Here is a 23368-nt window from a genome sequence, read left to right as displayed (position 1 = left end):
CTGCTCCTGTCAAGAAAGGACCCATTATCTCTTTCTTTCCCACGAGACGTGGAGATGAGGAGGGGTGTGTGCCTGCCGAGATGATATCAAAGGTGAGGCCTGGCCTGGATAGGCCTGCCATGGGTGGCCTTGTGTTATCTATGGGTAACCCTTTCCAAATGGCCAGAAGAGCCAGCAGTGCAGAATGAGCACTGTCTCCATCATAAAAAAAAGTCTCTCTGTTCAAGCCTTCCTGAGATGAGAGCCTCAGAAATTCAAGACATAGCAGGAGAACATCTTGCTGTCTTCAGAGTCTCCTTAGTAAATACAAAGCTGTCTCTAGAATTAGGGCTCCAGGTTACCAGAGTTCTAAACTTTCTTTGAGTTTGTAACTAAGGAAGTGAGGTCACTTCGAGATTCCATCACCTGGGCTCCGGTGCGGGAAATGAACGAGGGGAAAAGAAAAGGCACCCACAATAGTTTTAAGGATAAATAGCCTTTATCCCAAGTGTATGGCAATACAGACTTGATAAGCAAATAATATAATAAGCAAATTGCAATGGGAAGGACAGAAAGAAAATATATATATGTATATTTACACGCACCAGACTATGGAGGATTCATTACCAGACTGGGAAGCAACAGCCTGGGCTCCAGAGTCAGCCACGTGTCCATGCACAGATGAGGAGAGGTCTCATGAAACTTCAGCACAGTCTGGGACCCTAGCTCTTTTTGTAATGTGTTGTTTGGCATGAGGCGCAGTCACAGGTGCCCTTCACAAATGGGCTCAAGGAACACAAAAGATCAACTTGTTTTTGCAATTGTCTGTTGTTTTTTCAATAACTAATGTATAGGAATGGATTGAAAGATTTCTCTGAAACAGCGCTGGATGAACACCTCAAGGGGCTCATGCAACCTGTTCCAGGACTTCGTGACCATTGTTTGTGCCCATGTTCAATTGAGTTCATATTAAATATTTAACTTTTCCTCCACATTAGATTCCCAATTCTCAGAACCATGTCCACTGCCACAGGGCCTGGCTGGGAATATTGTCACTCATAGAGTTTAGAAGATGGAATGCTGGTCAGTGATGATGCTAGGGTGTTAGGTGAAGGCAGCCGGGACAGTCCCTCCAGGTTGAGGGAGGAGCTGGCCTCTCTTGTGGGGTCCTTGGCATGTCATTGCCGCTTTGGGCCTCTGTTTTCTTATGTGGAAAATTTAGGAATGATGAGCCTGTTGGGCAGGCCTCACAAGGTGGTGATGGGGCTCAGGGAGACAGAGAATCTGAGGGTGCTTGTGTCTGGCTCATCCTGAGAGGGATGATGGTGACAGCAATCATGACAACCACATGAAACCGAGGTGGTAAGAGGCCTTGTGAGGTAGTTGGTTCCCACCACACTTTCCAGTTGAGGAAACAGCTCAGGGAAACCCGACTGCATGCCCAAAATGACACATCCAGGGAGTGTTGGACCTGGGAGTGAGTCTAGAATCAGAGCTTACTGGAGATGATCAGAGCATTGGACAAGCTGACTCAGGCCACTTATCCGTGTCCAAGGTTAGTGTAGCTGAGGCGTAACTGAAAGAAGCATATTTTCACTGACCTTGTCCCTCATCTTAGCAGGTGAACAGCGTACAAGTTGTCTACCCTGTAGCGGAGCCCCAGAGAGCTTAGATGAGGCTGTGACAGCAGAAGGTGAATGTGTCTGTGATGGGGAAGGGCTCCAGGGTTTCAGAGAACAGAGCTTACTTCTCCCAGCTGGAAACCTCCAAATCAAAAAAGCAGAGGGCCTTTCTACTCCAGCCCTTTTCTCCTGGAGCTGCAGTGCCTAAAACACGTTCATTAGACAGACCAGAGCAAGGCCTGGGAGAGCTGGTCTCCGTGTGGCTTTTAAAATAGGTGGAGCCAGGGACCACATGACCTTGTGGCTTGTTAAAATCCCACCAAGGAGGTAATTATGGTGAGGTTGGTGGCAATAGAGGCCAGCTAATGGGAAGACATAGAGAATTGGGAAAAGGCAGCTGAGGGTTCTCAGCTACTCCAAGTGGGTAACCTAGGTAGAGGGCGCCAGGAGGCAGGGGTTTATAAGATTTCAGCGGACAGGACTTGGGTGGGCACCTCCCAAGTCATGCCCTCTCTGGGGACATTCCTCACTGATGTGGTGATGCTGGACATTGCCATGAAAGAGTGTGTGGATGTGAGTGAGCCTGGAGCAGACAGGTCAGGGACCAGGATCCTGAGGCCTGGGAGAAGAGAGTCTTGAACTGAGCTCCTAGATCCCAGTCCTTGCCAAAATTTTTTGCGAGGGCCTCGCAGCCCTCCTCATCCCGTAAACAGGGTATTTTACTCATGAGTGATGGAGGCTCCACAGCAGCCATCAGTCCCACTCCCTGAGTAGTGAAGCTGCAGAGCTGCAAGACCTCTTTTGTGCACATTCCGTGACCCTGGTGGCTCTGGAGGTGGTGAAGCTTGGAAATCGCTGGAAATGGAGGCTAGTTATGGACCAGCGGACCTTTCTGATGGTCTTTGGCTTTCTGTCTTCCAGAGAAATGTGATCAAAACCCAGAAAAACAGAAAGGTGAGCAGTAGCTGAAGTCCTCACTTTGAGGGAGGGTGGAGGTGGAAATGAGAAATCACCCTGGGCAGGACATTCCCTGGTCCCTTCTTCCGCATCTAAGATTTATTGAAAGGGAGTAATACACAGAGAAGGAGGAGACCTATCCTAATGCAGGGTGCAATCAGGGGAGTGAAGTTGATGACAACTTCCTAGAGGAAGGGCCGTTTACATTCAACTCTGAGAACCAGTTAGGGCTGCATGATATTGGAGGGGAGGTGAGAGCCCCTTAAAAGAAACACCTCAGAGACCAGCCCTCCTCCCTTCTTTTATAAGGCCCCTACAGAGTCTTTCACCCAGGCCCTGTCAGCATCCTGTCTTTCCCTCTGTCTCCAGAAGATTAAAGTCCTCCAGGAGATGCAGCAGTTCCACACAGCTGGAAACCATCATCATCTTCAGACTCAAGAGGAATTTCGGGCTTGGTTCCAAGCCTGGAGCAGCACAATCAGAATAAAAGGCAAAGACCTAGCAGATGAGCAGAGGGTAGGAGGGGAGACTGTCTTGCCGCCAGCCTCACACAGCCTGTGGCCAGGGTTCCCTGGCCAGCATCAGGTCCTGTTGCACCTGGACTCCAGCTGCTGGGGAGGAACTGGGGGACCTGAGGTGTGGCTTCTGGAACCTCACAGCTGTCACTCTTCTCTGAAGTTGCTAGCCATGAAGAACAGGCTGTGATAAAATCTCAGAGCCATTAAGTGCCTGTTGTTGGAATTGCTTTCATGGCTCATTGAAGTTTGTACTAAGCATGGGCTCTGGCAGTCAGGCAGCTCGAGTAGGGTTCCAGCCACACCATTGACCAGCCCTGCGAGTGGGGCAGAAAGCTCACTGCTCTGGCACTTGAGGCATCACGTCGTAAATTTAATGCAACCAATCCCCTTTTCACTGTTACCTACCTTTCTCTATAATCACCATGACCTGATCTCTGCTAGCATTTTTCTTAAAATGGATAAACATATGTTATATAGTATATATTATTCTTCCTCATGATTTTTTTGTTATATTGTCTCTTTCCACTCATATGAGATATTTACAGCAGTTAAGTTCATAGAAACACGAAGTAGAAGAGTAGTTTCCAGGGACTACACAAAGGGCAATGGAAGGGGAGTGTTGTTTACTGGGTACAGAGTTTCACTTTTAAAAGATTGAAAAACAGTTCCTTATGAACTTGGACAATGGTTGCAAAACAATGTGAATGTATTTAATTTCTTTAAACTGCACACACAAAAAAATAAAATGGTTAATTTCATGTATTTTTATATTTTACTAAAAGGTAAAAACTACTTTCTAAAATGAACAGACTATAGCTATTTGCAACTGGTGGGTGAATATCACAAATGTAATGTTGCATAAAAGAAAGCAGACATGCCAGTTTGGGCAACATGGTGAAACCCTGTCTCTACCAAAAATACAAAACAATTAGCCGGGCATGGTGGTGCAAGGCTGCGGTCCCAGTGACTCAAAAGGCTGAAGTGGAAGGATATCTTAAGCCTGGTAGGCAGAGGTTGCAGTGAGATCATGCCACTGCACACCAACCTGGGGAAAAGAAAGAAAGAAAAAAGAAGAGAGAAAGAAAGAAGGAAAGAAAGAGAGAAAGAAAGAAGACAGAAAAGGAAAGAAAGAAAGAAAACAGAAAAGGAAATAAAGAAAACAGATGTACAAGTATACATACTATATAATTTTGTTTATATAAAATGCTACAATCAAATAAAACTGAGGTTCTGACTTCCACTAAGTGTGGACTAGCTTGTTGAACTCTCACAAATAACAATGATGAAACTTGAATAAAATATATTATTATAGAAAAACGCCTATGCATAATACATATATGATATGTGTGTTTAACAACTGAATGAAGATTTCAGCTATACCCACTGTAGCAGACACAAGCATTGGTTTGACACTAGCCCAATGAACCCTGTTTATAAAACAAAAGTCTTCAAGGTAAAACAACAAAATCCAGAGTTTCTATTCTATAATTATCATTTATAGTTTCTAGTGCACAATTTTAAAATTCATAAGACTTGTAAAGAAACGTGAAAATGTCATCCATACACAATATCAAAAGCAGGCAGTAGAAGCTATCCCAGGATGTTGCAATCAGCAGACAAGAATTTGAAGGCAGTTTTTATGAATATGTTCATGGGGAAAAAAGAAAATATTCTATTCATAAACAAACAGATGTGGAACTTCAGCAGAGAAATGAACATATATATAAAAAAATTATAGATAAGGAAATGAAAAAAATCTTTTGCGTTTAGCCATAGATTTAAAACAGAAGACACAGCAATAGAAATTATCCAGTCTGGGAAAAAAAAAGTACAAAAAGTTTAAAGGAAATGAACAGAGCTCTCGAGACCTGTGGAATGACTGAGTCTAAGGAGAAGGGAGAGACAAAAAAAATTAAATAGGGAACAAAAGTAAATCAACAACTAATAGCGGAATACTTCCAAAAACTGTCCAAATACCTAAATATTTATATCCAAAAGGTCAATAAATACAAAACAAAATACAAATAAAACCACAGCAAGGCCATATCGTGGTTTATGAAACAGGCAAGGCAGGGCTTTTGCTTGACTTGCTATGATATCTAATTGCTACTATTTATGGATACTATGGAAATAAATACTAAATAGAATGGGAGATAGGTTATTCTCAGAGTTTTTTTTTTTTTTTTGCAAAGATGACTGTTATTAAAGGTAGATGACTTTCCAGCATGTCGAAAGGGGCGTGGCAGGGGAGGGGCGAGGAGAAGGGTCGGGGCTGAGGGAGGGGCCCTGCAAAGGTCTGGGCGCGCCCAGCTCCCCGAGAGCAAGCGTTACGGCAACACTGGGCAGGCTGTTAGAGGCTCCCGGGCTCTGTCTTGTCAGAGAGAAATCAAACTTCAGGCACAAATAGTCGTACAACTGGCACGTGGGGAGACTGTGTCACAATTACAAGTGAGACCACCTGCCCTGGCCACGCTGTCTCCTCGCACGCAGAAGTTTGGGAACAGATAGGCTCCCCTCAGCAGGGCGGAATTGCACTGGAAACATGGAGGGGCGGAGGAGAAGATGAAATTATCCCCGCAGTGTTGGAACTGTAGTCTCAGAGAAGATGAAATTTTCCCCGTAGTGTTGGAACTGTAGTCTCAGATCCACTCCCAGCCTTTCTGTCGCGGCAGTCGGACTATGATCCCAGCATGCGCTGGGCTTAGGGGAGGTTCCCAGCCCTGGAGGAAGGGTCAACAGGGTGGGTCCCTCGCAAGGCGTCCTGGGAGTCATAGTCCTTAAACAGTTTCCAGCACGTTGATCGCAAGGCTACCGAACTACAATGCCAGCATGCACCGGGATTGGGGCGGTGTGTAACGCTGGAGGGAAGGATAGAGAGGCGCGTCCCTGGCCAGGGATGCTGGGAGTTATGGTCTCTTAATGGTTTCCAGCGATGGCCCCCGGCCTGCAGACTAAAATCCCAGCAGCCACCGGGCTTCGAGGCGGTGTGTAGCACTGAAGGGAAGGATAGGGAGGTGCGTCCTTAGCCAGGCGTGCTGGGAGTTATGGTCTCTTAACAGTTTCCAGTCAGTTGGTCCCAGGACTACCTGACTACAATCCCAGTATGCGTTGGGCTTGGGGGCGGTGCGCAGCCCTAGAGGAAGGATCGGGACGGCGGGTACCTCGCAAGGCATCCTGGGAGTCATAGTCCTTTCAGTATTTCCAGCCCATTGGTCGCGAGGCTAACGGACTACAATCTCAGCATGCGCTGGGTTTGGGGTCGGTGTGTAGTATGGAAGCGAAGGATAGGGAGGCGCGTCCCTAGCTAGGAGTGCTGGGAGTTATGGTGTCTTAACGGTTTCCAGCCCATTGGTCGCCGACCTGCTAACTACAAAACCAGCATGCGCTGTCTGTCCTCCCCCGTGGTGCGCAGCCCTGGAGGGAGGGACAGGGCGGTGTGGACTCGTCCTTTCCTAAGCGATGCCACATGCTGATTCTGTGCCACCCCCTCGCCAAGGGAGTCCGCAGAAGGACTTGAGGGGCAGGTCTAGGCTGGGCGATGAGGACGGTGTGACCCTGCGAAGTGCACCTCCCTTGCTCAAATCGGAGGGGTCTGGTCCTCATGAACAGCCCGCTGAACATCTCGGTGTCCTCTCACATACACACCCGCGGGGGGTTTCCAGAGCATCGCACCTCTTCCAGCCCAGGGAGCCGCCTGCTCTGCTAAACTCTATGGGAACTGAGACATCCACCTGCTGCGTGACCCACCCGTGCGCAACTTCAGAGCTTTCAGGGGGTGATGCGGGCTGTGGCTCCTTCGTGAAAATGTCACCGTCTGCAGCGCCTTTCTTGTGATATAGAACTTGACGGGTGAGAGCGGGTATTTCTTGGGTTACTCAGGATCTGCTAACAGCAGAGGAGAAAACCACAATTCCCAGGCATAAGAATCTACCTAAAGACGATGGTTTAGATATTTTACAGTTGAAATCACCAGCCTCATCTCAACTGAGTCCTGACTGACGAGTGTCTCAAAAAAGCAGCTGGTGACCTCATCCCTCAGGAACAGGTGGTGCTCCAGCTTTGTGGGGATGACTTTCAAGGTGCAGAGCACTTGAGCCGCATTTGAAGTCATTCATGTTTTACATCTCTGCTTTGGATGGAAAGTTGATCCCCCACAGCCGTTGGGGATGTACCTTAATATACTGGGGCTTATCAGTTAAATTTTTCTGTCTAGACAATGAAAACCCAGAAGTTCCACTTGCAGGTAGCCTCTTAATAATCGACGTTCCTAAGTTCCTTATGTCCTCAGGATAGTTCCTTTTGTTCCCAGATGTTACCAACTTTGATGATGCATCTAATCTGTACAAACCTGTGTATTTCTCTATGTGAAAAGAAAACTTTGTTCAAATTACATGTTCTTATAATTTTCACTTGTGATCGGTGAGTATGGGACACTATAAAAAAATCCTGAAAAACCTCATCATAGCAATTGAATCACGTTACTGTACTTTATGAGGAATTAACCCCTTCAGGATGAATTACTCATGGGTTCATCAGCACATTTGTGAAGAAAGGAAGAAAAACTGTATGGCCTTTATGAAATTGGAAAAATAAAGAACTATATATAGGAGGACCACAGCACAATACTAGGGCCCTTCTCTTATTTTAAATAGACTCTATGGGGTCGAATGCCTGCATTCCTAACCTATCCTGCAGTATTCTCATCCTACTCTTCACTGTGTATTTAGGTGGGGGGTTCTGAATTCACTTGTCCACAGCGTTAGTGGGGATGTTGTAACGTGAGGGTATCCATCATCTATCATCTTAATAATTAATGAAGAGAAGAGCCTTGAGATCTGTCTTCAGATACACTGCTGCCGAGTATGTGCCTGCAAAGACACTGCCCACACCGGTGGTCTCAGAAAGTTGAACCTGATGCCACCACAAGCTGCTGTTCACAGATCTAGGTGCTCCTTGTGATTTGAGTCTCCTTCTTACATTTGTGGTTGTGAACCTGCTATGCTCACCCCATTTATGGTAGTATATTTTGTGTCACCTTTTCTATTCCATTTGTTTCCTGGGAACTCACTGTGTAACTGCAATTCAGAGAATATGTAGGGATTCCACCCCCGACTACCTAAGTCACTGTATACTGGTCACATTTGTGTCATGTTTTCAGACTACACACTCTTCCTCTCTAATGGAATTTGTTGAAGAAATATAGTTGCCTGTAGATCTCCTCAGTGTAATGTGGCTGGGATTGATTATGAAGCTGGGCATGTTGTCCTTGGCCTCATAGACATTATTCAAAATACCTTTCCCATATTTTGAAGTTTGATACTACTTTGTTAATGTGAACACTTGCCATAGCAGGCTCTATTAAATATCTCTGTGAATTTAACTGTCAAAACAACTTATGAAGTAGGCACATGATCCCCATTTTACAGGTGAGGAAACAAATGTTCCAAGATTTTGAGTAATTTTATTAACTTTACACAGCTTTCTGGTGCATTTTGAATCTTAAGTTGGATCTCTTTCTCCACAATGCGTGGGCTTACCTCCTTTTCTATTTTGTGCCTCTCTGCTAGCATCTGCAAGGGTACATTTTATTTTTAGTACATCTTCCACTTGATGGTGGGAAACTTGACAAACAGATCCTTAGTGGGAGAGGAAACTCACTGGCATTTGTCCTTCTCTCTGCTCCTTCTTACCCTGGCAGGCATGAGACTTATCAAGTGAGATGGAGCAGTGGTAGATCCTGACCAGTCCTCACCTGGAATATTTGTTATTATAAAAACATAGTCCTCTCATTTTTTACAAGTGTAACTTCTTTGCCTTAAAGTTTTGTCTGGGCTTTCTCTTACAGGTTCCTGCGAATTAAGTTGCAAATATTGATGAAGATAATACTACTGCCTTGCTGTCAAACAGTAACAGTCACCTTTTTTTCTATCTCCAATTATAAATGCAATACATACTGTAAAAAGAAAAGAAAACATCATAAATATCTTTATAAAGTAAAAGTCTTGGCTGGTCTCTGGGAGCAGTGACTCATGCCTGTAATCTCAGCACTTTGTGAGGCCGAGGTGGGTGGATCATGAGGTCAGTAATTTGAGGCCAGCCTAGCTGACATGGTGGAACCCCATCTCTACTAAAAAATACAAAAATTAGCTGGTCTCGGTGGCGGGTGCCTATAATCCCAGCTACCCACGAGGCTGAGGCAGGAGAATCACTTGAACCCAGGAGGCAAATGGTGCAGTGAGCCAAGATCGTGCCATTGCACTCTAGCCTGGGCAACAAAGTGAGACTCCATCTCAAAAACAAAACAAAACAAAAAACTTGGTTGGCGTAGTGGCTCAATCCCAGCACTTTGGGAGCCCAAGGCAGGTGAATTGTTTGAGCCCAGAAGCTCAAGACGAGTGTGGGCAACATGGTAAAACCCTCTCTCTACAAAAATACAAAAATTAACCAGTTGTGGTGATGTACACCTGTATTCGCAGCTACTAGGGAGGCTGAGGTGAGAGGATTGTTTGAGCCTGGGAGGCCAAGATTGCAGTGAGCTGAAATCACACCACTGCGCTTCCATGTGGGCAACAAAGTGAGACCCTGACTCAAAAAATAAAAACACATTAAACTGAAAGTCCCCTTTATTCCCTTCTCTTCAAACTCACCTTTTTTATTTGAAAAAACTGTTAAGAGGTTGTTTTTTATTCTTCTGGCTAAGTTGTATAAATTTCTTTTTTTTTTTCGAGACAGACTCTCGCTCTGTTGCCCAGGCTGGAGTGCAGCGGCGCGATCTCGGCTCACTGCAAGCTCTGCCTCCCGGTTTCACGCCATTCTCCTGCCTCAGCCTGCCGAGTAGCTGGGACTAGAGTTGCCCGCCACCACACCCGGCTAATTTTTTGTATTTTTAGTAGAGACAGGGTTTCACCGTGTTAGCCAGGATGGTCTTGGTCTCGATATCCGGCCCCCTGATCTGCCCCCTTCGTCTTCTCAGAGTGCTGGGATTAGAGGCGTGAGCCACCGCCCCCGGCCTGTTCTATAAATTTCTAAGTGATACACATAAAGTTTATTTTAAAAATTACATCACACTACATTAAAATTTACTCTTTCTCCAGGTGTATTCCATCTATTTATTTATCTATCTATCTATCTATCTATCTATCATCTATCATCTATCTATCTATGACAAGGCCTTGCTCTGTCACACAGACTGGAGTTCAGTAGCTCAATTATGGCTCACTGCAGACTCAAACTCTCAGGCTCAAAGGATTTTCTAACTTCAGCTTCTGAAGTAGCTGGGAGTACAGGTGCATGCCACTACTCCTGGTTAATTTTTAGTTTTTGTTTGTTTTTTTCTTTAAACAGGGTCTCACTGTGTCACCTGGGCTGGAATGCAATGCATAATCACAGCTCACTCTAGCCTTGACCACTCAGGCTCAGGCAATTCTCCTGCCTCAGCCTCCTGAGCAGATGGGACCACAAATGTGTATTAACACACTTGGCTGTTTATTATTATTTGCAGAGACAGGGTCTCCCTATCCTGCCCAGGCATGTTGTGAACTCTTGTGCTTAAGCAATCTGCTACCTCGGCCTCCCAAATTGCTGGAATTACAGGTGTGAGCCACCACAACTTACCCAGCCTTTTTACTTTGTGTAAGAATAGCATCAGTGTATTAAAAATACGACGGAAATTATTTATGGTGTCTTTTCAATTCTTATGCATTAAAATTCTCTTATTAGAGCCTTTTATTAATGGTTATAGTGTATTTTCTGTGAAATTTTACTGTCACACACTGCATGCCAATGATTCAAGATACCCGAACTTCATGAATGCACAGTCACAGTAGAATATTTTAGTTATCTAAAAAGTATTTTCATAAATGATATATCAAGTATATATGCAAGGTAGCCTGGTCTGGTAGCAGGTGCTTGTAATCTCAGTGAAGGCTGGGGCAGGAGAATGGTTTGAACTCAGGAGGCGGAGGTTGAAACGAGCCGTCGTCTCGCCACTGCACTTCAGCTTGGGAGACAGAGTGAGACTCTGTCTCAAAAAAAGAAAAAAACTTTGCTTGCAAGATTTTATGAGTAAATATGTTTCTTATTTTTCTTTACAATTCCATATTACTGTCTCGATTATTTATAATAGGTTCCAGGGCAGCAGTTGATTTTATTTTGGGTTTTACTTATGTATTATAACTTTGGATGTTATGATTTTCAACTCTGCCTGTACACTTCAAGTCAATGTGGATTTTTAGAAAAATGTTAATAGTACAAACTATTCATAGATTCAACTTCATAATGTTAAAAGCAACGGCAGCTCCTGGTTTAAAAAGGGAACGGTGGAAGCAGCCGGCCATTTTATTTAAAATCGCGTTAGATTTTTCAGATGGATGATAGTTAAGATCATTAAATCCCATTACTGCTTCTAAGATTTCCACAAAATAGTACATTAAATCCTCAGTCCTAAGCAATCACGACAGAGATTCAAAATTGCCTCTCAATGTCAAGGTAAACAGCGCACTATCTTCTCTTGCAATAAAGGTACATCATTTGATATACAAGGGAGCATAGCAGTCAGACACTTACAAGATCGTGCTGTAGAAATAACTTCCATGTTTTCATCCGCCATGTGTATCCTCACCTCTGTCTCCCATGCAGTAACACTATCAGTTTCCTCATGTGTCTTTTCTACTTTCTTTGAAAGAGGATGCTGATTGCAGACAATACATGACAGAGGCATTTCAAATCAGAAAGGAGTTTCTTGAGATATACGTGATTTTAGTTTTAAGTAGAATGTCCTGAAGAGTTTTAGTTACAATACCACCTTCAAGAGGATGGTGGTGAAATTCATAGTAAACATTTGGCAAAATATAGGTTATGAGGCAGCCATCTCCTAGAAACACTTCATCGGGGTTTATATATGAAATGTGAAATATCGTAGGTTTAATCCTGGCACAGAACCAAAACTGAGTGCATTGCACTTGAACAGCTGACCAATCCCCAGCACAGGTCCATATGAAGAAACGGAGAAGAAAGAATCCTTTTAACCACAGAAAGGTCTTCATTTGCCCAAACTGAAAACCAAATTTCACTCAGGAAACTAATGTTGGGTTTAATTAAAATATAAATCGGTCATACGTTTTCAAAATTAAATTATATATGTGTTTGTCTCTATAAATATGTCCCCAACTTTGCTCCTGGCTTATCTTCCATATTTTTTGGCTGATTTTCAGTGGTTGTCTTATCTTGTGAGGATGAATAGTCATTGAAATAATCTTAATTTCACAATGAGTTTAATTATAAATCTATACTTCCTTTGTGTGAGAGAAAATCTTTTGTGAACAAAATTTAATTTTTGGAAAGATTTATAAGTCCATATTTTTTCCTTTTAAAAACTGCGATTGTGGTAAAAACACATAATGTAAAATTTACCATTTTAATTCTTTTTAAGTGTATATTTCATTAGCGTTAAGTACATTCACATAGTTATGCAAAAGATCTGTAGAACTTCTATGTCTTGCAAAACTAACATTAAATGTCTTTTAAGACAATTGCCCATTTTACCATCTCTTCAGTCCTTGACAAACACCATTCTAACTATTTTTTTCCTATGAGTTTGTCTACTTAAGATACCTGATTATGAATGGAATCATAGACTGTCACTTTGTTCCTGGCTTATTTCAGTTAACGTGATATTCTCAAGAATAATCATATAATGTGACTTTTTAAAGACTGAATAATATTCGACTTTGTGTATGTGCCACTTGTTATTAATCTCTTCATTGGTCAAGGGACAGCTGGGTTGTTTCTGCCTTTTGGCTTGTGTTAGTAATGCTGCAATAAATTTGGGTGTGCAAATATCTCTTCCGGATCATGTGTTGTATATTTTAAATACATAGCCAGAATGGGGTTTGCTGGATTGTATAATAATCTCATTTTAAATTTTTTGAAGAGCTTTCATACTATTTTAAATATAGGTTTGATGTGATAGATTATTGTGACTTTTCTTTGTATTTTTATAGAAGAGAGTTGTCGAGTATCCTTTTAAATGCCTAGTCATTTCTATGTCTTCTTTGGAGAAAGTCATTTCAAACATGTGCCATTCTAAATCAAGTTATTAACTTTTTTTGTTGTTGAGTTTTAGGAATTTATATATTTTGAAAATTAACACCTACCAAATATGTGATTAGAAAATATTTTTACTCTTTTTTGTTTTATGTATGTATGTATGCATATATATAACCCTATACAAGACAGGGTCTTGCTATGTTTTCATGGCTAGTCTCAAACTTTTGGCCTCAAGTGATTGTTCTGCCTTGGCCTCCTAAAGTTGTAGAATTAAAGGCATGAGACACCATGCCTAGCTTTCACCCACTTATTAGGTGACGTTTGTATGGCACTAAATGTTTTATTTGATGTGTAGAATAGTTGAAGCTTAATGTAGTCCCTTTTTTTGGTCGTTGTTCTTTTCCTTGTTGCTTATGAATTTGATGTCAAACTTAAGGAAAGAGTTTTAAGACTTATGTCATAAACTTTTCCCTTATGTTTACTTCTAAGAATTTTATTAGGTTTTATGTTTAAGTATTGAATTCATTTAAAAAACTTTTCTTTTTATATATGATACAAAGGAAGCATCCAATTTTATTTTTTTCTCTGTAAATATTCAATTTGGAAAATTCTTTGTTAAATAGATTCTTATTTTTCTATTGTGTGGTCATGGAAAGCTTATGGAAGATTATTTTATCACATATGCAAGGGTTTATTTCTGGGATCTCTATTCTGTTTCGTCATCTATGTATCTGTTTTTGTGGCAATACCATATTGTTTTTATTTTTGTAGCTTTGTATCATGATTTTGAATCAGAAAATGTAATACCTCTTTGTTCTTTTTAAAGGGTGTTTGGCTAGTCACCTTTCCTAAGCAACGTTTAGAATTATACACAAAAATTCTGCAAAAAAAATACCATTGGGATTTTGACAAAAATTACCTTACATTTTTATATCATCATGAGTAGTACTGGCAACATTTTTTTTTTTTTTTTTTGGAGATGGAGTTTTAGTGAGTCACTCAGGCTGAAGGGCAGGGGTGCGAGATGTGCTCACTGCAGGCTCCGCTTCCCAGGTTCAAGCAATTCTCCAGTCTCAGCCACCAGAGTAGCTGGGATTGCAGTCGTGCACCATCATGTCTAGCTAACTTTTGTATTTTTAGTAGAGATAGGGTTTTGCCATATTCACTAGGCTAGTCTCAAACTTCTGATCTCAGGTGATCCACCCACTTTGGCCTCCCAAAGTCCTAGGATTACAGGCATGAGCCTCATGCCGGCCCTGACATCTTAACAATATTAAATCACCTGACACTTGAGCAAGACTATATGAAAGATTTTGCTTAATTTCCTCTTATTTACATATTTGCCACATTTTCTTGCTTTTGAATTCTAGTTTCATTTACATTGTATGGCTTCGGTTTTCTTAAATTTAATAAGACATGTATCCTAACAGAATGTACCATGTGTGATTTAGAATATTGCAGATTTTGCTCCTTTAAATTGGAGAGTTCTGTAAATGCTGGTTGGGTCTATAATGTTCAGGTTTGGCTTTCTTACTGATATTACTTCTGACTATTCTAGTCATTACTGAAGTGGAGACTTGAAGTCCACCATTGTTGTGTTGCTATGTATTTCTTGCTTGACTTCTGTCAATATTTGTTTTACATATTTGAAAGACGAGAATCAGTTGAACCTGGGAGGAGGAGGTTGAAGTGAGCCTATCGAGAGATCGTGCCACTGCCCTCCAGCCTGAGAGAAAGAAACTCTGTCTCTAAAAAAAAAAAAAGAAAGAAAGATGTCAGTGCTATTTATAGTAATACAAAAATTTAATGTAATTTTTGTCAAAATCTCAATGGTATATTTTTGCAGATTTTTCAAATTATATATATATGATTTATAAATTATTGTTATAGATTCCTGGAAAGTTAATCCATCTCACCATTACATAATACCAATCTCTCTCGGCCGGGCGCAGTGGCTCACGCCTGTAGTCTCAGCACTTTGGGAGGCCGAGGCGGGTGAATCATGAGGTCCAGAGATCGAGACCATCCTGGCCAACAAGGTGAAACCCCATCTCTACTAAAAAGTACAAAAATTAGCTGGGTGAGGTGGCGGCGTGTGCCTGTAGTCCCAGCTACTCGGGAAGCTGAAGCAGGAGAATCGATTGAACCAGGGAGGTTGTGGTTGCAGTGAGCCGAGATCGTGCCACTGCACTCCAGCCTGGTGACAGAATGAGACTCTGTCTCCAAAAACAAAAACAAAAACACAATACCAATCTGTCTCTTGTTCATATTTTTGATTTAAAATATATTTTGTTTAGTATAATTATGACCATGGCCCTCCAATTTTAGCTACTCTTTGCATAAAATATATTTTCTTTATACTGTTACTTTCAACTTATTTGAGTCCTTAGAGCTGGAATGACTCTTGTAGAGAGCACATTGCTGGATCTTCTTTGTTCTTAATCCATTAAATTATTTATTAATTTTCTTTAAGGTATTTAACTTTTTATATTTGAAGTCATTACTGCATTTAATGAAGTTACTTTATTATTTGTAATTGTCTTCTGTGTTTCTTGTAGATGTGTTATTTATCATTTTTTCTCTTACTGCTTTATTTCTGTTTGTTGATTTTGTAGTGACGTGATTGAATTTCTTTCTCGTTTGCCTTTGCATACATTCTACAGGTTTTTTTGGTAATCATCCTGAGAAATAAAGACTTCATAAATCATCTTAAAGTTATGACAGTATAGAACAACCATATTTCAACTGAATGCAAAGTTGTACCTCTTCACACTCCCACTGTTTTATTAATATCACATATTATCTTTCCTTATGGTCTATGATCACAAATTTATGCAGATTTCTGCTTCATGTTTTAAACTCCATGGCAATATTTTGAAAGTTTTGTGCACCATGATTATGACAGTAGAGATTTCTTTACCTGTTTATATATTTACCTTTAATAGAGAGCTTTCTATTTTCATGTGCTGTTATGATGCTCTGCAGCATCATTTCATTTTTGGACTTGATAGACTCTTTTACACTTCCTTTAGGACTCTTCTAGTGGTTAGTAACACAATCAACTTTTATTTATTTTGGAAAGGTTTAGTTTTTTTATTTCTGAAGTGATATTACTCCAGTTGAAGGTTTTTGTTTGGAAGTATTTCTTCTTGTTTAATTATCTTGTCATGTGGGGATTTCTCAGCTACTTTTTAAAAATAATCTCTTTATTACTTTTCTCCTATATTGTTTTTGTAAGACTCCTTTCATAAATATAATGGTCCACTTGACAATGTGCAGTACGTCCCATACTTTTTCCTCCATTCTGCTTAAAAAATTTGTTTTCATCACTCAATATTTATAACTACAATGTCATCAATTGTGTAATTTTTTCTCCTTTATTAGTCTGCTTTTGTGACTGTTGATTAAATTTTTAATATAGCTATTATGTTCTTCAGATTCACAATTGTTGGTTTTTAAAAATCTTTTTATTGATATCTCATTTTCTTTATGTATCACTTCTTCTAATATTCTTTTGTTGTCTATGTTCTGTTTTTGTTCATTAAGCAGTTTTTTCTAATCACATTTTATTGAAAACTGCACTGAATGCTAAATGTCCATCTTTACAATAAACAACTACAGTAACGGTAATTCGCACTACACTAAAACAAAACGTACTTCTGATAGCCATTATTTTTCTGTTTGGGACAGTTTTAAAAATTTCTCTTTTCTTACAAAAACGGGAATGTCCCTAACCAAAGGATCAAAACAGGCCATCTTTTTAAACAAAAAGACAATATTCACAAAAGACTATGAATAGAACATGTAACTAATTGATGCAAATCTAATATAATTTGTTAAAATCAGTCACATCCAATACAGCTGAAGTGTTCTTGTATAAAACACAACGTGAAGAAAAGAAGACTTTATCAATGTCTTAAAAAGTGGGTTTGTTCATAGACAATCTGACAAGTTACCATTAAAAGTGTTTCCTGTGACATAAGAAAGTGCAATATTATTTTTCTTGAACCCTTTTAGTGCAAGACTTCCCACTAAATAAAATACCAGAGGATCTGAAACTAAGAAAATATACTTGATTACAAACAGCGTGTGAAAGTTAATACTTTTTTTTTTTTTTTTTTTGCATTATCGGAGGCTTTTACTGAACTTACAACCAACTTGCCCGCTCAATATGCAGTTCAGATGTGAGAGACGCTTCTCTGTACAGGACCCGGTACTGTCTTCAATCCTATGCGTGAGGATGTCTACCACAGGCAAACAGTTTACTCCATATTTTCTAGTAATGTGATCTTCCTATTAGCAAAAAGCTGTAACCAGTCCCTGTAGACTGAAGGGACTCAAGTCACAAGATGGGGATTTCCTCCTCATGGTTTTTATTTTGATGTTTGAAGTCTTGATGCAACATTCTGAGCTGGGTGTTCCTGACCTGCTGTGCCCAAGGGACTGACAAAGGAAAAAGTTGTATTTATTCTTTGTGATTTGACGCACAGATGAAAAACTAAACACATAATAACGGAAGTTGGTGGTTAATAAATCACATCCTAGTCTTTCAGAGCTTCCGTAAGCAGACGACATCTTCAGTTTTCTAGGTCTTGCAGTTTTAACACTGCAAAACCAATGAGCATATGTCCAGAATCAGCTAAAAAGAGCGTCAGATTCTTTTTCTCTTAGTTTGTCTATTTTTCACTGTCTCTTCTTCAAAAGTGTATCTGAATGATTACCTTCCGGCATTCTCTGTTATTACTCGTTGGGGTGCTCTCGATTGTCCCCGTGTTTGAGGGCTGGTTGGGAGAGGGTGCTTGGGAAGGATGTGCCACTGTCGGGAGTTTATGAGTCACCAGGATGTCTCCAGGGAAGGTCCCTTCCATGGATGCAGGAAGTCCTCCTGGACCCACACCCAAGATGCCTGGATGAATTTCTTGCTGGTCTATTTCCCACCAAAGCACAGATGTGACAAAGAATTCCTCGTTCACACAGTTTCTTAAGCTTCCTGGGATGCGACCTGTGATGGCTCGGCGGAGCTCGGTGGCAGCTGTCTCCCTCATCTCCAGTGACACCTGCTGGCTGTAGCAGGCAGTGAGAGGAGTGCAGATGAGATTGGGGGCATCTTTCAACGGACCCTGAGCAAAGCTAAAGGGCTGCGACTCGTTCACGTCGAGGACTGCCCTTCGTATCCTGCCTTCCTTGAGGGCCTGTGCTAAGGCTCTCTCGTCCACCAGGCCACCACGGGCTGCGTTCACAAGGAATGCTCCCTGCCTCATCTGCTTTATGGTAAAGTCATTGATGAGGTGGTGCTTAAGTTCGTTGAGACTGCAGTGCAAGGAGATGCAGTCGCTCTGATACAGCCAATCCTGCAGGGTGTAGACCCTCTGCATGCCCAGGGACTGCTCGATCCCATCCTGCAAGTAGGGGTAATAAAACATGACGCTGAATCCAAAGGCTGTGGCTGGAACTGCAAAAGCCTGCTGCGTGCGACCCTAGCCGATGAGGTCCAGCGTCTTCCCACGAATGCGGGCCACTCCCGAGGCCACCTCGCAGATCTGCTCCATGCTCTGAACCCGCTTGCCTTCCCACAGTGCCTGGTACAGCCATGTGTTCCTCCGGTACATGTTGAGAATGTGGCTGTTGGTGGAATTGGCTGTCTCTTCCACGGCTGCGGACGGGATGTTTCACACAGCAATTCCGAGCTCGCTGGCAGCCTTGATGTCCACGTTGTCATAGCCACTGCCCACCCCCACGAGCACTCTCAAGGACTTGAAATTTGCCAGAACCTTCCTAGTGAGGTGATTGTGTGGTGCATCATGGGGCCCACGGCTCTGTTTAGAACTTTCTCGTGGATTTCCTGCGTGGACTGCATCATAGAAGGCCACGGTGGCCAGATCCTTCAGGATGGGCATGTCCACAGTGCAGTCACGGCCGACCAGGAACGCTGCCAGTGAGCGGGGGCTTAGGGGGTCTTTCGTGATCTGGCGGCGAATTCCTTCACAAATTCTGTCCAATCGCTGTCTCTTGACTTAGCGCTTATCCACAGGGCCATTCTTTACGGAACTTTGCAACTCTCAGATCAAAAGGTAAAACAGTCCTCTAAGAACTTAGGGGAACTCGCAGGAGTCTGTGTGCATGATGCCACTATGAACCCAATATAAATTTGTTCACAAACTCTATAGTTCACACGATGGGCTGTCCGTCTCTTTAAGGGAATATAGCTTCATTGGTTCAAAACCATTTAAGGTGATGAAACCCATTTGGTTGCAACTCAGCCACCATCGCGCAGTCAATCAACGAATCTCACCACGACCCCAGGTCTGGAGCTCCTGGAGTCCGCGACCGCTGGGGGTGGAGGCGGCTTCGGCCTGGTGCAGCCAGGTCCTTGCTCCTGCTCTGAGCCTCGGGCGTGGGTTGGGGGTCCACCCGGGTGTCCCGCATGGTGTCTAAGCTCCTCCCTTGCCGGAGCCCTGCGGACTGGAGGAGTGTTCATATCATTAAGGAGCTTTGATAATTATTTTGATTTTTAAAATTATATAATGCAAAAACAACAACAACAAAGAATAAACCTACAAATTTTGACCTTTAAAAGTCAACAAAGATTTTTAAAGGTCAATATTTGTAGGTTTATTTTATTTCTTCAATTGGGACATGTTTTCGTCCTTTTCTGTATGCCCTGCAATCTTTTGATGAGATTCAGAAATTTATAAAACAACTGTGTAATGTAGTATGTACAAACTTGCTTACTACAAGATAATACAACAATCAGTGAGGCTGTACATCCTGGTACTTCATTAACAGTGTCTTCAATGTGTCTTCTCTGGGCTTGTGTGTGTATTTTTAAGGTAAAGATATTTTTTCCCATTGTTTTCCAGACACTGTGGTCCTTTGCTTCCGCAGTTGATTGTAGTGTTTGTTTCTCTGAGGCTGTGGTAAGCATGTAACTTCTCTTCTCAGCAGTCATAAGTTATCATTCTCATTACTCTGCCATTTCCTTTAGCATTCCCTGTTTGGGGAGACAGAATCTAGTCATCAGCGGTAGCCCACAAAGCCAAACCTTTGAACATATGTTCCACTGTTCTCATTCTACACTGAGGGATATACTAAAAGTTGGACGTTTTCTCTTGAGCCCAATTGCTGTTCTGGGAAAGAAGAAGGGATGTGGTGAATATAAGCCAGACCTGGTTGCCTCGTACAGCAAGCTTTTCCAACCCGCCTTGTTTTGTTTTTGTTATGGCTCTGTTTTGTTTTAGGTTTTTAGCAGCCTGCAGCAATGGTTTTTGGGTTCTGTGTCTAGTGATAAGTGGAAAAGGGGGATGAGGAAAGGGCCTTACTGGCTCAACCAGAAACAGAAACTAAGAACTCATGGCTGTAGTCTCCCGTGGATGCCCCTGTCCTACAGTAAAGGAAATATCTTTGGAATGTAAAAAGAGAGAGAATAATAGGCAACACCCCAATAGGGAAGAATGAACAAATAACAAAGATGAGAGGTGCAAAGGCCAAGGAGAAAACCTTAAAAATGTGGTGTTGGAAGTTCTGCTTCAAAGAAATTGGTTCTGGAAAATTCTAAATTTACTTCTTTTGCTGCCACAGGTGGAAATTTCCTACCCTATGCTTATTATGCTCTTAAATCTTCTAAGGCTTCTCTGTTCATCCACTAACATTCCAGGGCATTCACAGTGACAGCCAAAGTTCGCCTCTTCTTTCTGCTATTCCCATGAAGCTCTTGTGGTCTGAGTGCTTTTCCATTGTTTTTGGGATCTGAGGAAATCTGCACATTTTGTGAGACTTCTATGTTAAGCTGTCTTGTAAAAATCTGTGCCTCATGTCAGAAGTTTGTGAGAGCAAAAGTGCAGGCATTGGGGTTTGGTTCACATATTTCAGAAACACCAAGGACAAATGTTTCTTCCTCATAATTTTCAGTCCTATTATTTCAAATGTGTTCCTGCAAAAAAATCAGAAAAAAAATTTATCAGAGCCCAAAGCACCTCAGCACATATGATAAAGTTGAATCTTCTATTTCACTTTATTCTTTTTTTCATCTCTGGTAATGTAGGTCAAAAAGTTTTCTTTCCCTTAGTAGAAACTAACTTAGAAATGTGAACTCTCTATGCCAAACATGTCACCTGTGGAATAGTTTATTGTATCTACTCATCTCAAAGAATTTTTAAGGACCTTAATCCATAGAAAAACTTAGAAACATGCCAGGAATAGAACAAATTCTTAACTGTTACATTATTTCTTAATGAGTTATTTTATTAATTAATCTTATATAAAGCTTAGTGGGACTGTGATCTGTACGTTTTCCCTGTCCTGTTTTTACCTATGTCAAATTAGCCTATAACTTTAGCTTCAGGGGTTTCAGAAAACATACTTGAATTTATGTGTTATATAAAAAGTGAATTGGATGGTATGCACATCACATTAAGAAAAGTTTTAGTTTGTGTCTAAGTTCACTGCATAGAAAAACTTATCATTAGTGTTTCCATTTACTTTCCTCAACATTTATCTGAATGATAGTATAATTTATTTCTAATTGCTTATTATATTGTAGTTTTCCACAGCATATTTTACAATATTCATGTTGTTCCCATATGTAAAAATGTAAGGCTTTTCTTTGTTTTAAAAATAATAAATTATAGGCCAGTGCTGTGTTTCATGCTTGTAATCACAGCACATTAAAAGGTTGAGATAGGTGGATCACGAGGTCAGGAGTTCAAGACCAGCCTGGCCAACATGGTGAAATCCTGTCTCTACTAAAACTACAAAAAATATCGCCGGCGAGGAGCGGTGACTCAAGCCTGTAATCCCAGTACTTTGGGAGGCCGAGACGGGTGGATCACGAGGTCAGAAGATCAAGACCTTCCTGGCTAACACGGTGAAACCCCGTGTATACTAAAAATACACAAAAATTAGCCGGGCGTGATGGTGGGCGCCTGTAGTCCCAGCTACTCAGGAGGCTGAGGCAGGAGAATGGCGTGAACCAGGGAGGTGGAGGTTGCAGTGAGCCGAGGTCTCGCCACTACACTCCAGCCTGGGTGACAAAGCGAGACTCCATCTCAAAAAATTAAAAAAAATAAATAAATTATAGCCTTTCCATTTGTATAAAAAGAGGAGTAATATATTAAGAACATAATAAAAAGTGTCTCTAATATCATTGAAATCTTTATTAAAATTTTCTTCTAAATGCTCTTTATGGGAGATTATAATGTATTTGTTGTGCAATTTTGTTACTCTAACCATATGCTAAGAATTCAAAATCTGCTCTTTATGGGAGCCCAGTTATGGTTGAACATGCTAGTTATCTAGAAAGAGTCTTCTTCCGTTGCATGCTTTGTTTATTCGGTATTTCACAGGCTAATGTTTATTTAATTTTATTTTCTAATATTATATATTCTTGTATTTCCTTGTTAGGATAGGCTGCCTTACATTATTTAATTGTGTTTTTAGATTCTGCTTATATATTATAATTTTGTATGACTATATTCAACTGTGTACAGTTGAATATGAATCAGTCAAATATGAATCAACCACACGTCTATTGCCAACATAATTCTCTGTTCATTTGCCTGTATAAACATTACTCATACTTTATTTATGACTTGTGTATTTGTTTTATTAGTTGGTGGTCAATTATTTTTTTAATCCTCTCTGGGTGAGTAGTTGTGGAAATTGTCTTAATTTCCACTTCTATATATTAATGAATCTATATTACTTTTGTGTTGAAGGAAACACTTCTGTGATTTGAAGTTAATTTTTTTTTACCTCTGAACTTTTTACTGGCCTCCTGCTCCCCAAAGGGACCTTGCTTCTGATGGCTTAGCACAACAAAACGTCTGTATTGTTGGTCTCAGACACCACTTTCCCGTCCACTATCCTGCGGGGGCTGTTCTTTTGGATAGCTTGCAGGTATTTACTGCTGTCCAGAGCATCCAGGAGATTGAAATCCTCCCCGTCTTCTAGGAGGCGGCAGTAAGTGGCAATCGCAGCCTCCAGCTCGACCTTGATGTTCCACAGGTCCTCGTGCTCTTGGGCGTGGTACCTCTCTTCCCGGTTTTGGGATAGCTCTGACTCCAGGTGCAGCAGGATCCTGTTGAGCTGCTCCATCTGCGTCTACCTCCCTTAGGCTGTTCTCCAAGCTGACTTTCAGATATCTCATTGAGTCCAGTTCGATATCCAAGGACTGGACTGTACATCTCAACCCCCTGAGCATCCTCTCAGCAGCTCCGATCTCAGCGGACTGCATGGTGACTACTCTGG

The 23368-nt window shown here is 41.5% G+C and overlaps 1 pseudogene; it reads right to left on the bottom strand.

Moving 5' to 3' along the window:
* Nucleotides 1–17161: 17161 nt before the first annotated feature.
* On the bottom strand, nt 17162–23053 carry LOC107987391 (C-terminal-binding protein 2-like; annotated as a pseudogene).
* Nucleotides 23054–23368: the final 315 nt, after the last annotated feature.

The sequence above is a fragment of the Homo sapiens genome (assembly GCF_000001405.40).
Source record: "Homo sapiens chromosome 22 unlocalized genomic scaffold, GRCh38.p14 Primary Assembly HSCHR22_UNLOCALIZED_CTG3".
Classification (NCBI taxonomy): domain Eukaryota; kingdom Metazoa; phylum Chordata; class Mammalia; order Primates; family Hominidae; genus Homo; species Homo sapiens.
This window is presented reverse-complemented; position numbering and strand designations above follow the sequence as displayed.